The sequence below is a fragment of the Homo sapiens genome, chromosome 5, assembly GCF_000001405.40.
Source record: "Homo sapiens chromosome 5, GRCh38.p14 Primary Assembly".
NCBI lineage: Eukaryota > Metazoa > Chordata > Mammalia > Primates > Hominidae > Homo > Homo sapiens.
Window position 1 is genome coordinate 131639927 of NC_000005.10, and position 15879 is coordinate 131655805.

The 15879-nt window shown below is 36.9% G+C and overlaps 1 protein-coding gene across 3 annotated transcripts in view; it reads right to left on the bottom strand.

Moving 5' to 3' along the window:
• Window positions 1-1787: 1787 nt before the first annotated feature.
• FNIP1 (folliculin interacting protein 1) overlaps window positions 1788-15879 on the bottom strand; it is a 155304-nt gene continuing 141212 nt past the window's right edge. For all 3 annotated transcript variants that reach the window (NM_001346114.2, NM_001008738.3, NM_133372.3), the window contains 3 exons: window positions 11876-12073; window positions 7164-7279; window positions 1788-4837 (listed from right to left, as the gene is read on the bottom strand). In NM_001346114.2, the coding sequence (NP_001333043.1) occupies window positions 4759-4837; window positions 7164-7279; window positions 11876-12073 (393 nt within the window). In that variant the 3' untranslated portion in view covers window positions 1788-4758. The remainder of the gene's footprint in view (window positions 4838-7163; window positions 7280-11875; window positions 12074-15879) is intronic.

Here is a 15879-nt window from a genome sequence, read left to right on the forward strand (position 1 = left end):
GTTCACCAGAAACAAAGTTAGTGTTAAAAGAAAGATAAGAAGAACTAGTCACCTGACTATTGGAAGAGAGAGGGTAACTGAGCACATGCTTTAAGACCAAAAGGACACTAAAGTTCTCCCGATAAATAATGGGTGGGAACATATTCTGTTTTGGACTGCTTGTATTTTTGGGGGGGGGGCGGGGAGGGGAAGTCTCAACTAATCTTAAATTTAGAGCAAACAGGGCAAACCCAGTCTGCAGGATGGAACAAAAACAGGGAGCACTACACTCCCCTGTGCCCCCCCATTTCTATCTGCCTAAGCAGTTCCCACTCACAGCTACAATTTTCCAGCCCCACCTTGCACCTTCAGTTTAGGTTTGGTCCTACTTGCCACCCTACCCCACCTTGCATATTGGCAAAGACAAATGAAGAAATCCCGGATATCTTTACAATACAGCTGTCACCACATAGTAGTTGAGAAAACATTCTGGTCTGAGAGACAAGATGAACACACAGGAAAGACTGTGACTTCAGATAATCACATTAAAGTCTCTGTATCTCCTTTTCTCACTAGCAAAAATCTTCTCATAAACGTTACCAATTTTAAACCTCTAAAATAGCTGACAGCTGTTTCCCAAATACTTGAGACTTCTCTGCTTTGAAACAGTTCACTTACTCTCTTTGGTTAAATGTAAGAGTGATAATATGTAGTATTATATGAAAACAGGTACCTCAAAAAGCCCCTGGTCTAGTCCCGCCCCCAGGACTAACTCTGCCCAGATCAACCTAGCCTGAGCAAGACAGCTTACCAATAAGCCTACTCACTGATGAATCACTGCTATAGAGCAGGCACAAAGCTGATTTCCCTACAATACAGATGAAAACAATAGACTTGCTCAGTCACTTGCAAATCAGTGAACAAAGAGGATTAAAACCCAAACTAATCAGCCAATTTTTTGTAAAGTATAGTAATTTGTATTGAATACAATGTTCTTTTTTATTTGAGATAGAGTTTTGCTCTTGTTGCCCAGGCTGGAGTGCAGTGGCAGGATCTCAGCTCACCGCAACCTCTAGAGGCTGAGGCAGGAGAGAAGCAACTCTCCTGCCTCAGCCACTGGAGTAGCTGGGATTACAGGTGCCTGCCACCACACCCGGCTAATTTTTGTATTTTTAGTAGAGAGGGGGTTTCACCAGGTTTGTCAGGCTGGTCTCGAACTCCTGACCTCAGGTGATCTGCCCACCTCAGCCTCCCAAAGTGCTGGGATTACAGGTGTGAGCCACCGCACCCAGCCTGTATTGAATACAATTTTCTTAACATTATATAACTTCTAGGTTTTTAGATTGTTGGGTTCACTTTGCTTTCATAAAAGCATTTAAAGAAATTTTCAATTTGTTGCTCGCTGTAAGAAGATACTCTTATATTTTCTGTTACTATGTTTTTATTCATAAGAACATACGCTAAAAATTCGCAAAACAATAGGTGGGGGGCCACAAGAGGAAGGCTGGACAGATTATCTGGTAAAAGTAGCAGCCAAAAATTATTTAGCACTTGGAGTATGCCAGTACTGAGCTAAATCCTTAACATTCATTATTTCACTTGATTCTCACAACCACCTCATGAAGTAGATTCTATTAAATTACCAATATGGAAATACCAATGAGGAAAGGTCACATCCTTAGAAGTGTCAAACTTCTAAGTTTGACAGAAGTTATATCAGTCCATAACTTCTGTCATCTGATGTCTGGACAGACATCAGTCCATGTTACGTATACCTTAATATATGAAAGAAAGACCAACACCATCCATCAAGTTGACATGTGTATTTATTGCACAAATATCCCCTAGAACTGGGAGGTTATTATAATACAAGTGTACATTTGAGAAATGTATACAGAACAAGAAACAGCTATGTACATATCCAACATCTAAGTAACTTAGAAAAAGCAGAACAATCTCATAAGACATCTACCAGAAGTAGGCATTATGTAAAATCTGTTTTTTTAAGTGATCATCCCCAGAGTATGCCAATTGGAACAAAACAAAATCTGTACTAGTATGTTTTTATTGCACTTAACATTTTCAAACTCAAAATTAAGACATATTAATAAAAGCCAGAAATATTTAAAATCAAACCAATTAGTTTATATACAAGAAAAAATTAGTTTTAATTCTATAATGTAAAAGATCCCTTTTTTATTTCCTGTTTCAATAAACAGGTTTTTTTTGATATGTAACAACTGTCTGTACCATAACTTGTAAAAATTATTTAGAACAAGCCAAAACTCTTTTCACATTCATCATAATGACCACACTTTAAAGTAGCAGCAGCTCATTCCTTGGGCTTTGCGTAAGGAAAGAATGACTATGGTGAAGGTAATAGAAATTATAGAAGGATTAGGAATTACAAAACTCAGGAATGGGAAGCAGTGGGGAGGAACAAAACAGTAACTCAGGAATCCTATAAGGATTAATGATTCTTTAAGAAACTATAGGTCATTTCCTTCCCAGCAAAGCTTAGCTTTAGGAACAACAATAGCATGAGCCACCCACTTATTGAGGACTAGAATTTCTAAACGGTAATTAAACATTTTAAATAAAGAACAGTTTGATGGTTAAGGAGACACCCAGACATTATCCAAGTGCTATACAGAGCTACAATAAAAAAAAAAAAAAGTACAAGGCTGGGCACAGTGGCTCACGCCTGTAATCCCAGTACTTTGGGAGGTCGAGGCAGGTGGATCACTTGAGTTCAGGAGTTCAAGACCAGCCTGACCAACACATGGTGAAATCTCATCTCTACTAAAAATAAAAAATTAGCTGGGTGTGGTGGCGCACACTTGTAATCCCAGCTACTTGGGGGCTGAGGCAGGAGAATCACTTGAACTGGGAGGCGGAGGTTGCAGTGAGCTGAGATCGCACCATTGCACTCCAGCCTGGGTAACAAGAGTGAAACTCCGTCAAAAAAAAAAAAAAAAAAAAAAAGGTACAATGGCCCGCAAATGTATGAACTTTTTAATATTCTGAATTCTGCCAAAAAGATTGACTCATAGAATTCCAAAATCAGACAACTGGATAATTTTGTTAATGCACAGAATAAGAAAATTAAGCCAAAGAAAATATATCCACAAACACTCCTTGGCAGCAAGTCATCCATGGGAGACTCAGGTAATAACTGGGACTAGGTAAAAGGTCATGGGCCAAACAGATTGCAGACACACCAATTTCAGGTTTACATTCCATTAAAACAACAATTTTTTCTTTGTCTAGTTGGAAGTCTCTTGAATACATACACAGCAAGGCAAAATGTGACCCAATGCTGTAAATTCAAGGTCAAAGACAACTTTCCATTAACTATTGAAAATTTAAACAGCAAGAATGGATGTGTTATATAGTAAATATATTTAATAACTGAATAAACAAGTGGTTTTCTTTTTTTAATCAATGATGAAATTATGATGAAAATAGTCAATGAAAGCAGAAACCAACTTTACTACTAGCATTAAAAGTCTCTTAGACCAGATAAGCAAAGAATAAACTATAATGTAGTACTCAAGTAAACTGAGGTAGTAGAAAGTATTGAAAACTTTATCCACCCACCTTTCTATTTACATTACTTACAAGAGTTTGGTTCCATATTAGCCTTTCTTACAAGCAACACTCTATAGTATGTACAAAGGCAACAATTGAGAAGTGAAAATCTTTGAAAAAAATACACTTTTGGAAGGGAGGGACTCTTAGAAAAAAAGAGAATAATTTTAAGAGTTATGAATAGTGTAAATTGAGGATTATTAAGCAGTGAAACAAATATTCAGCTCCTATGGGTTCATGAGGGTTGATACCAAAAGCAAGGGCCTTGGCTACCTGAGCACTTTTAAAGAATATAGTATTGTTTTTGCCGATGCTTTGGTGCAATTTTTAATCCTAATTTTCATTTATGTTAAATTAGTGAATATGTAAATATTAATATTTATAAGAACAGTTCATACTTATAAACAAATGGTATAAAGTAGTATTCTCATTTTGGGAATCTCAGCCTTAAAAAAAAGGTTGGCTTTACTTATATTTTAGAGTGTGTGAAACAGAAAAATCACCAATAAGTAATATTTCAGCATTATAGACAATACTAGTTGAAAATATATATATTTTTAAAGGCATGTTTACCAGTCTTGTATTTCTATTTCTGCTTTTTAAAAAAAAATAGGTACATATGTACACTTGGGTGGATAACATAACACATTTACACTCATTATTCTGAGTTTCTTATAATTAACAGGCTGTTTAAAATACTTACTTTGAGAAATAACCAGACATTAGCTGTTTTGAATTGCAAAACTAACAAATAATCAAGGTTTTATAGATCTCTGTACCTTAGAAATTAAAAATTAAAAACTAATGAATAACTATTTCTGAGCCATTAAATCATGAGACACTGTTGCTATTTATGAGCTGTGACAACACTGCAGTGATCACATGAAACTCTTGATAATATTCATTTTGTAGAAATTTCTACCGTACACTTTGGCTTTTTCAAATGCTTCAAAATTATTGTTGCTTTAATTTCATTTGTTTAAAAATCTACCACCACCCAAAAGTCCAGTCAAAAAGAAAAAGCCATCTGACATACACAGAATATACAATGCTATGCAGAATACCCTGGTGACTGACTCATTCAGATGGAAGTCTAAAAGGGAAAAAGAATCTCCATAAATGCATGTTGTGTCTGCTTCCTTGGTTTCTACCTATTTTCCCACCAATTTCTAACAATTTTTAGGTATATTAAAGGAGTATTTGTGCAACATATGGAGAGTGAGTGCTTGCTACAGCAGCCAGAAGTGGAAGATCACTGGATTCAATCCTGAAATAAAGGGGAAAAAAATGTCAGTTTTGATTTTCTGTACTGAGGACATGAACTCTACAGGCAATGACCACCAACTGTAAGGTCACTATACCTCAACGGTTAAGGAGCTAGGCCACTCTGGCCGAAAGGAAAAATTCTCAGTAAATAAAACACAGAACTACAGATACGAGTAACAACATCATAAACGTAGAAAAGTGTCTCAATGACATGCTGATGGAACATGAACTGGGGCATGGCACAATGACTAACAACTGCAATCTAGTGTAATAATAGCTGGGTGAGGTGACTCGTGCCTGTAATCCCAACACTTTGGGAGGCCTAGTTGGGAGGATCGCTTAAGCCCAGGAGTTGAAGACCAACCTAAGCAAGATAATGAGACCCTGTCTCCACAAAAAAATTTTAAAAACTAGCTGGGCATGGTGGTGTGTGCCCGTGGTACCAGCTACTCTGGAAGCTGAGGCAGAAAGATCTCTTGAGCCTGGGAGGTTGAGGCTGAAGTCAGCTATGTACCAACAGCAGGGCAACAGAGCAAGACCCTGTCTCAAAAAAAAAAAAAAACAAAGAATAATAATGTGTACCCAGATTGTTTTGGATTCAAATGTTTCTATAATAAGATGTATTGGAAGTAATGGGAGCTACTTCAAAATACATCCTACCACAAATTTATAGGAAAAGAAAAATGGCCAACCAACATAGAAAATATTAATCAGACTCCCTCATGGTTAGAGAAATGTGAATAAAATCAGATACCATTTTTTAGATAGTAGCCTAGCAAAGATCAAATCTGGTAATAGCCAGTACTGAGAAGAGTGCCTCTTACTGTTTGTGGGAATTCATTTTGAAACTTTCTGGAGAGTATTCAGTATAATCTGTCAAACTATCTATCAATACAGGCCCTTTAACCAAAAATTCTATTTCAAGGAATTTATCCTACAAATGTCAGAGACTTATATTCAGTCTGGCACTGGTTTATAGTAGCAAAAAACTAAAAATAATCTAAATTCCAACATATAAGGGAATGCTAGACAGCCATTAGGAAGAATGAGATTATTCTGTGCTTATATGAACATTCAAGATATAGTAAAAGGCAAGTTGTACAAGGACACAAGAGTATAACTCAACTTAGATTTTTAAATAATATTCATTTAAAAATTCTACAAAACAATCTGTTAACAGTGTTTGAGTAGGGGTTGGAAGTTGGGGGAAGAAGACAATGACTTACTTTTCATTGTATGCCAAAATGCACTGTGAATTTTGGTTACATTTATGTTACTTTTTAAAACTTGTCTTAAATATTTTTACATAAAGGCATTAAACACACAGCTCACTCCCCAGAAAAACAAGGTTATATCCTGTTACTGATTTTCCAAATACTGGAGAACAATTCTCTCTGTATAACTCAAGTCAAAATCATCAAGTCTGGACCAACAGTGTGGTACTACAGAATATAAATAGGGTCTAAAGTAAAAAAGATATAGAGTCATTCAAATCCCTAATTAGTCCTACCAGTGTGTGACATCTGGCATGTTAACTTCAGAATCATCTGTTTCCAACCTGGATAACACTGCCTACACACTGCAGGATGATAGTAAGAATGAAGAAATAACACTAGTAAAAAATTTTCATGTGGTTTGACATACAGTAGGTTCTCAGTGATATTGGTTTCTTTTCCCATCATAAAAGCCAAATTAGATAAAAGTTCTAGCTTGTTTTGCTTTCTTTAATGGCATTTCAAGAAATAATTCATATGAACCCACCTAAAGTGGCCAGAGAACACAAGAAAAGTGACCACAGAACATAATGAAATAGGGCTATATTATGCCCCCCCTACCAACTTCCCATTCCTCCTTCAGTAAGCATTTTTGATAACTGTTTTCTGCCAGAGAATAATGCAGAGTAGACAGATATAATATATAGTTAATGGGGGGGAAGGAGTAATATATGGATAACGTATTACCATCTACAGACTTCTGTTACCTCAACCAGCTCATGTGGAAGGCAGGGCAGATACTTGGAATAATGAGTTTGCAACATATTTAATAAATGAGTATGTACTTATGTTTCTGAGACAAAAATTCAGATTTTAATTCACTGTGATTATATTCTCAACCTACTGTATGTAATGGCACAAGGGATAATGCCTTTCAGATTAGTGGATGACAGGGAACCTGCTATTACATGGTACAGGGCAACCTAAATGATAACAGCCTCCAGCTTCTAATAGGAGAAGACACGTAAAAGGAAAAAGGGCAATTCTGAGGAAAATTCCTTGCCTGATGACAGGGCAATGAAAGCAAAGCCAAAAAAGAAACCATTAACATACCCCAGAACCACTCCCAGCTCCTTGACATGAACACGCATCTGCCCCCTCAGGTATTCAGACAGCATTTTACTTTTGAAGTATAGCTCCTGCAACCGGTCTTCAAGATGCATTACACACTGCAGTTAGGGAGGAACCAAGAACCAGGTCAGAAAACAGTTTGCAACTCTCAGTCATGGCAAACTCCAAAACATAATGTTTTTGACAATTCTGTTTGTTTATTTCAATATGAACTAAAATTTGGAGCACATTTTTAAAGTATGTAGTTTTAGCTAAAAAGAGAAGTGAAACTTTTTCTGGCTCATATCAAAGATTAGCTTCTACAGCGTCTTTTTTTTTTTTTAACTGTGCAAAAATACACATACAATTTGCCCTTTTAACCATTTTTTGTTTGTTTTTTGTTTTTGAGATGGAGTCTTGCTCTGTTAACCAGGCTGGAGTGCAAAGCGCGACCACAGCTCACTGCAACTTCCGCCTCCCGGGTTCAAGCAATTCTCCTGCCTCAGTCTCCTGAGTAGCTGGGACTACAGCCATGCGCACCACACCCGGCTAATTTCTTTTCTATTTTTAATAGAGATGGAGTTTCACCACGTTGGCCAGGCTGGTCTCAAACTCCTGACCTCAGGTGATCCACCCACCTCAGCCTCCAAAGTTCTGGGATTACAAGTGTGAGCCACCATGTCCAGCCCTTTTTAACCATTTTTAAATATACTTCAGTGGCACTAAGTACATTCAGAATGTTGTGCAACCGTCACTACTATCCATTTCCAAAACTTTTTTCACTATGTTTTTATTTCAAATTTGATAAATATAAAATTTTTATAAATTAATACTTTTCAAATGTATTTACATAGGAAAGGATGTATTCTCCTGTGGAGAATAAAAAACAGTTTGCAAAAGTTCACAAAGAATGCTATGTGGTTCCCCAATTTCTAAGCTGAAAGACTGAAAATTAAAACACATCTGGGCATGGTGGCTCATACTTGTAATCGCAACATTCTGGGAGGTGGAGGCAGGAGGATCATCTGAGGCCAGGAGTTCGAGATCAGCCTGGGCAACACAGTGAGACTCTGTCTCTACAAAAATTAAAAAAAAAAAAAAAAAAAAAGAATTAGCCGAGCATGGTGGCACGTGCCTGTAGTCTTAGCTACTTGAGCCCAGGGGTTTTGAGGGTGCATTGAGCCATGATTACTACTGCAATTCAGCCTGGGTGACAAAAGTTACAAAAAAAAAAAAACCTGAAACACATACATTTTGTTTAATGTCAATTAACTTGCTCAATTTACTAAAATAGGTGATTTATCATGTGAATTGATGCTAAACATGTTTGAGGAAAAAACAGAAGTTTCAGGTGCTAAACATTAAATTCATACAGAGTGTTCCTTTCCAATGAAAATCAGTTATTAAAAGCTCCTAATAAAAATCTACTTTATTATTGTAAAACACAACCAAATGGTTGTGGTTTTATAGTGTATGTTTTTTCACAATGCTTTAGGCTGATAATGCCATAAGAAAATTTTAACTGCAGAATATATGTAGATATAAAATATGTAATATAATTTACTATATTGACCACTTTACAGTATATAATTATATAGTCCTAAGAGCATTCGATGTTGTGCAACCATCACCACCATCCATTTCCAGAACATTTTATCATCTCAAAAACTCTGTGCTCATCATCTCAAACAAAAACTCTGTACTCATTAAACAATAACTCCTTATTCTCTTCTTACCCGCAGCCCCTGGTAACCACTATTTTAGATTCAGTCTCTATGAATCTGCCTATTTGTGGTACCTCATATAAGTGGAATCATACAATATTTGTCCTTTTGTGTCTAGTTTATTTCACTTAGCATAATGCTTATGAGGTTCATCCATGTTGTAGCATGTATTAGAATTTCAGTCCTTTTCATGGCTGAATAAATATTGCATTGTATATATTATACCACATTTTGTTTATCCATTCATTTGCTGATGGATGCTTGGGTTATTTCTAACGTTTGGCGATTGAGAATAATGTTTCTATGAACAAGAGTATATACTGCCTGAATCCCTGCTTTTAATTGTTTTGAGTATAAACGCAGAAGTGGAATTAATAGATCATATGGTAATATACAATGTTAAACTTTTTGAGGAACAGCCAAACTTTTCCACGGCTCCAGCACCATTTTACATTACCATCAACAATGCATGAGGGTTCCAAGGTCACCACATCTTGGTCAATACTTACTATTTTTTGTGGATTCTTTTTATCATAGTCATCCTTACAGGTATTGAATGGCAGCTCACTGTGGTTTTATTAGCATTTCCCTAATGACTAATGATGTTGAGCATATTTTCATGTGCTTATTGGCCATTTGTATATTTTCTTTGGCAAAACGTCTATTCAAGTCCTTTGCCATTTTTTAATTCAATTATTTTTTTCCTGTTGAGTTGTAGGAGTTATTTATATATTCTGAGTATCAATCCCTTTTGAGATATATGATTTGCAAATATTTTCTATTTTATAGGTTGTCTTTTCACTCTGTTGATAGCTAATAAACAAAAGTTTTTAATTTGATGAAATCCAATTTATCTATTTTTTTACTTTTGTTACCTATGCTTTTGGTTTCAAATTCAAGAAGTCACTGTCATATCCAATGTCACAAAGATTATCCCCTAGGTTTTCTTGTAAGTTTTATAGTTTTAGCTCTTAAATCTTTGATCCATTTGGAGTTCATTTCTGTACGTGGCATAATTCTTTTGTATGTGGCTATCCAGTTTTCCCAGCATCTTTTGTTGAAAAGACTCCTTTCCCTGTTGAATGGTCTTGGCACTTTTGTTGAAAATCAACTAAACTTATATGTGAGGGTTAACTTTTAGGATCTCCATTCTATTCCATTGGTCTATATACCTGTCCTTATGCCAGTAGCACAATGTTTTGATTACTGTAGCTTTGTAATAAGTTTTGAAATCAAGAAATGTGAAATCTACCAACACTGTTGTTTTTCAAGATTGTTTTATCTCTTTGGGGTCTCTTGAGATTCTTAATGTATTTTAAGATGGGTTTTTCTATTTCTGCAAAAAATATCAATTGGATTTTGATAGGGATTACATTCAATCTGTAGATAACTTTGAGTAGTAATGATATCCTAATAATATTAAGTCTTTCAATCCATGAGCATGGGAAGTGCTTTCATTTATATATGTCCTTAATTTCTATCAATAATGTTTTATACCTTATAGTGTACAAGGGAGTCTTTTGTCTCCCTAAATTTGTTCCTAAGTAATTTATTCTTTTTGGTGCTATTGTAAGTGGAATTGTTTTCTTAATTTTCTTTTCAGAGTGTTCATTGTTCGAATAAGTATATAGAAATGCAACTTATTTTTATGGGTTTTGTATTATGCAAATCTGCTTAATTTGCTTATTAGCTCTACCAGTTTTCTGTGGGATCTTTATGTTTTCTATGTACGAGAAGATCATGTCATCTGCAAACAGAGATAATTTTATTTCCTCTTTTCCAATCTTGAAGTCTTTTGTATTTTTCTTGCCTGATTGCTCTGGCTAAAACTCTCAGTAGCATGTTGAACAGAAGTAGGGAAAGTGGGTCTTATTGTCTTTTTCCTAATCTTAGAGAAATACTTTCAGTCTTCCACCACTTAGTGTGATGTTGGCTATGGGTTTGTCATAGATATCCTTTATCATCTTGAACTACAGAGCTTTTTAACTATGGTATGTTATAGTTCTCCTAATAAGTGAAAGAAAGAACCTTGAAAGTTGGAAATGGGATCTTTAGAAAGAGGTTACCAGTATTATAAAGAGATCAATAAAAGTCCTGACATGACAATGAGGATCCAGAATGTACTGGCATTCTACACAAAGCTGGGAGATGTTGCATGACTATACTACACATGATCAAAAATTCTGGCTGCTGAAATCAGAACATACAGACATGTACACAACCCCTTCTGTCTTAGCTTGGGCTGCCATAACAAAGTATCATAGACTGGATGGATTAAAAAAAAAAAACAGATATATAGCTGGGAATGGTGGCTCATGCCTGTAATCTCAGCACTTTGGGAGGCTGGGGCAGGAGGAACACTTGAGCCCAGAAGTCTGAGACCAGTCTGGGCAATGGGGCAAAATGCCATCTCTACTAAAAAAATACAAAATATTAGTCAGGTGTGGTAGCACGTGCCTGTAGTTCCTCCTACTCAGCAGGCTAAGGCAGGAGGATCACCTGAGCCCAAGAAGTTGAGGCTGCAGTGAGCCAAGACTGCACCACTGTGCTCCAACCCAGGTGATGGGATTAAGACACTGTCTCAAACAAACAAAAAACCCCAGATATTTATTTTCTCACAGTTCTGGAAGCTACAAATCCAAGACCAAGGTGCAAGCATGGTTGGGTTCTGGTAAGGGCTCTCTTCCTGCTGGCAGACAGCTGTTTTCTCACTGTGTCCTCACATGGTGGAGACAGAACAATCTTTCTCTTCCTCATCTTCTTAGGCCACTAATACCATCAGAGCACCCCACCCTCAAGATCTAATCTTACCTTAGATACCTCCCAAAGATCCTATCTCCAAATACTGTCACACTGGGAATTAGGGCTTCAATATATGAGTTCGGGTAATGACACAAACATTCAGTCCCTAACAGCTTTTTTTCAGAAAAAACAATGATGAAAGCTTTAAGCAGTGCTTAAAGTAATGCAAGCAGTGTTACACATACTTACAAAATTTGGAGACAAGTTATGCTTATAAAGCTGAAGTGTGGAATGAAGCAGATTGGAAACAAGACTGGAAACCAATACTTCCTTTCCCAATTTATTATCTGTCACTCGTCTCTGGCTACTGGCCACTTGAACAGTCCATTTATCCATGTCAGCTATAATACAGACAGCTTCTGCTATTGGTTCATCCAAAACTGGATGCTGGAAATAAAAGAATAATTCATCTTATGTTTAGCAAATGAAGTTTCCAAAGATAATGGTAATTCAGCAATGAAGGTTTACTAAACAAAAACAGAAAAAAAAATTAAACTTCAATATTTCAATATCTCCTTGACCAAGAAGAATAATTAACTCATTAACAAATACCCTGAGACATATTATAGATATCATCGTAGATTGAGACTTTGTATTCATTACAAGGACTTTGTATTATTTAGTCCAGAACTTAACTTTCAACAGTCTTTTGATCATTCATTAATTTGACAAATGTATTAAGTGTCTACTATGTGCCAGGCAATTGAAAGAAAATGTTTTTTTACCCTGAAAGAGACAAACATTTTATTTTATTTTATTTTCAGACAGAGTCTTGCTCTGTAGCCAGGCTGGAGTGCAGTGGTGCAATCTCAGCTCACTGCAACCTCCGCCTCCCAGGTTCAAGCCATTCCCCTGCCTCAGCCTCCCAAGTAGCTGGGACTACAGGCACACGCCACCACGCCTGACTAATTTTTTGTATTTTAGTAGAGATGGGGTTTCACCATGGTCTCGATCTCCTAACCTTGTGATCCACCCACCTCGGCCTCCCAAAGTTTTGGGATTACAGGCGTGAGACACTGCACCTGGCCTGAGACAAACATTTTAAAAACAGAACAGGACAGGACAGGACAGATGACATGGTTCACATCTATATAATCCCAGCACACTGGGAGGCTGAGGTGGGAGGACTGCTTAAGGCCAGGAGCTTGAGACTAGCCTGAGCAACATAGCCAGACCTCGTCTCTACAAAAAAATCTAAAAAATCAGCCAGGAATGGTGGCATGCACCTGTGATCCCAGCTACTTAGGAGGCTGAGGTGGGATGATTGCTTGAACCCAAGAATTCAAGATTGCAGTGATCTAAAACTGTGCCACAGCCCTCCAGTGTGGGTCAAAGAGTAAGACCCTGTCTTAAAAAAAACACAAACAACAACAACAACAAAGAAACAAGACTTATTCACACAAATAAGTCAATGGTAAGATTCTGTGCTAACTATCCCAATATGTCAGGCATTAATATCCCTCAGCACCAGAGAAGGTATTCCTTGATGTCATGAAGTGCTTTGCTGCCTACATGAATTAGATTTTTCTGTTTGACTAAGACATCTGTCCAGAGTATGAATACAGCAGTTAAAAATGGGACACATCAAAATATACTAACAGGGTTCTCCAAGACACATTGTTAAGTGAAAAAAAAAAAATTCAGGCTGGGCGTGGTAGTTCACGCCTATAATGCAGGCACTTTGGGAGGCCAAGGTGGACCGATCACCTAAGGTCAGGAGTTTGAGACCAACCTGGCCAATATGGTGAAACCCCAACTCTACTAAAAATACAAAAAATTAGCCGGGCATGGTGGCAGATGCCTGTAATCCCAGCTACTTGGGAGGCTGAGGCAGGAGAATGGCTTGAACCCGGGAGGCAGAGGTTGCAGTGAGCTGAGATCGTGCCATTGCACTCTAGCCTGGGCAACAAGAGCGAAATTCCGTCTCAAAAAAAAAAAAAGTCACTATACATACAGTTATGTTTCTAAAAATTCAGATCTACATCTAAATGAAAGTGTATAGAAAAAAGAAAGAAAATACTCAAATCAAGTATGAAGTATTGAAGATCTCTGTGAAGCAAGAACGTTAAGAGTATGAAGGACTTCTACTTTTTACTCTGTATATCTTTATACTGTTTGAACTTTTAAATTTTTATTTATTTTTTTCAGACAGTCTCACTCTGTCACCAGCCTAGGCTGGAGTACAGTGGCGTGATCTCAGCTCACTGCAACCTCCACCTCCCGGGTTCAAGTGATTCTCCTGCCTCAGCCTCCTGCGTAGCTGGGATTACAGGTGTGTGCCACCACGCCCGGCTAATTTTTGTACTTTTAGTAGAGACAGGGTTTCACCATGTAGGTCAGGCTGGTCTCGAACTCCTGACCTCGCAATCCACCTACCTTGGCCTCCCAAAGTGCTGGGATTACAGGCGTGAGCCACTGCACCCAGCCCTTATTGTTTGAATTTTTATCACAAGCATTTACTTTCATTGTTAAAAATGTTAAGACAGTGAAAAATAATATTTTGACTCATATATACATAGTCATGAAAGAGCCACAAGGCATATGGCTATGTCCTTACCTTCCCCCGGTTTACAAACAAAGACCAAAAATGACAATTAAGTACAGAGCATGTCTGCCAGAAACAGATAGTGACCCTACCTTTAATATTTTTCTGTATTTGGAAAGGTAAGGATTTTTTTTTACTACTGGCCAAATGGAATAGCAGCAACAAGACTGAGATTAAAACTATAATATGAAATACTGAGACCAATGGCTTTTCCTCTCTAACTTTTAATGTTACTACAATTAGGATAAGGTACCACAATAAGGACAAAAGTTTACTCCTGGATAAGCCCAGGTTTGGCATCCTCAAATGATATTCCTTTGCCTAGTTAATGAACAACTACTCTGAATAAAGCTCTTTCCTGGAAACTAAAGAAACAAAGACAACAGAACTCATAGACTTGTGAGGGAGATCAAAATAAATACATCTAGCTTTAAAAAAAATGTGTTACTGATGAAGCAGAAACCAAGTGCTGGGAAGTAGAGGAGGGCAATCGTGGGATCTGTGTGATAGGGAGTTTCGCAGTGAAAGGGACATAGGACTATGACATTGAAGTGTATAGATAGGACTACTGGTGAAAAAAATGGGAGAAGAACATGGATAATTCGGTAAGAGTAAGAATCAGAAATAGAAGTAGATGCAAATGGCTACATTTGTGAGAAATGATATTGAGAAATAAGAAGAGAATGGCAAAGGAAAAGTCCAAAAATATACCTTGGGAAGATTTTCCATGGAGCCCCAAATTTATATTTGTTTTTTATAAAACAGTATTCAAATATTTATTCATCTCTTGCCAGGGATAAATCACTTTGTTATTCATCACTTAATTATGGAAATATAATTTTGGCAAAGATATATACATCTGTGATATTGTGAAATATATTCAGCTGACCAACAACATGGGTTTGAACTACAGGTCCACTTAGATGCCAATTTTTTCCAATATAATATATGGGTAAAGTTTTTGGAAATTTGCAACAATTTGAAAAACTTAGACAAAACCGTGTAGCCTAGAAATACGGAAAATAAGAAAAGTTAGGCATGTCATGAATACATAAAATATATGTGGATGCATGCCACAGTAGTGTGCATTTGTAATCCCAGCTACTGGGGAGGCAGAGGCGAGAGGATCAATTGAGCCCAGTAGTTCGAGAGACTAACCTGAGCAACATAGTAAGACCCATCTCAAAACAAACAAACAAACAAAAAAATGTAGGTAGTATATTTTATCATTTACTACTATAAAATACAAATCTACTATAAGAAGTTAAAATTTATAAAAACTTACACACTTACAAGGCATACAAGGTGACATTCACAGCCCAGAGAAATGTTAACAAATGTATAGTATTAAATCATAACTGCATAAAACTAGCTGTAGTACCTACTGCACTACTATAATAGTTTTGTAGCTACTTCCTGTTGCTATTGCCCAGAGCTCAAGTGTTGCAAGTATGTACTTCAAACACCCTGCCAACTTAATCATCTCTGCAGGAGCAGTTCCGCTCTCCAATAAACAGCATATCTCAGTTAAAAACTAATCTCTTTTCGAGGCCATCCTGGCTAACACAGTGAAACCTCGTCTCTACTAAAAATACAAAAAAAAAAAAAAAATTAGTTAGGCATGGTGGCAGGCGCCTGCAATCCCAGC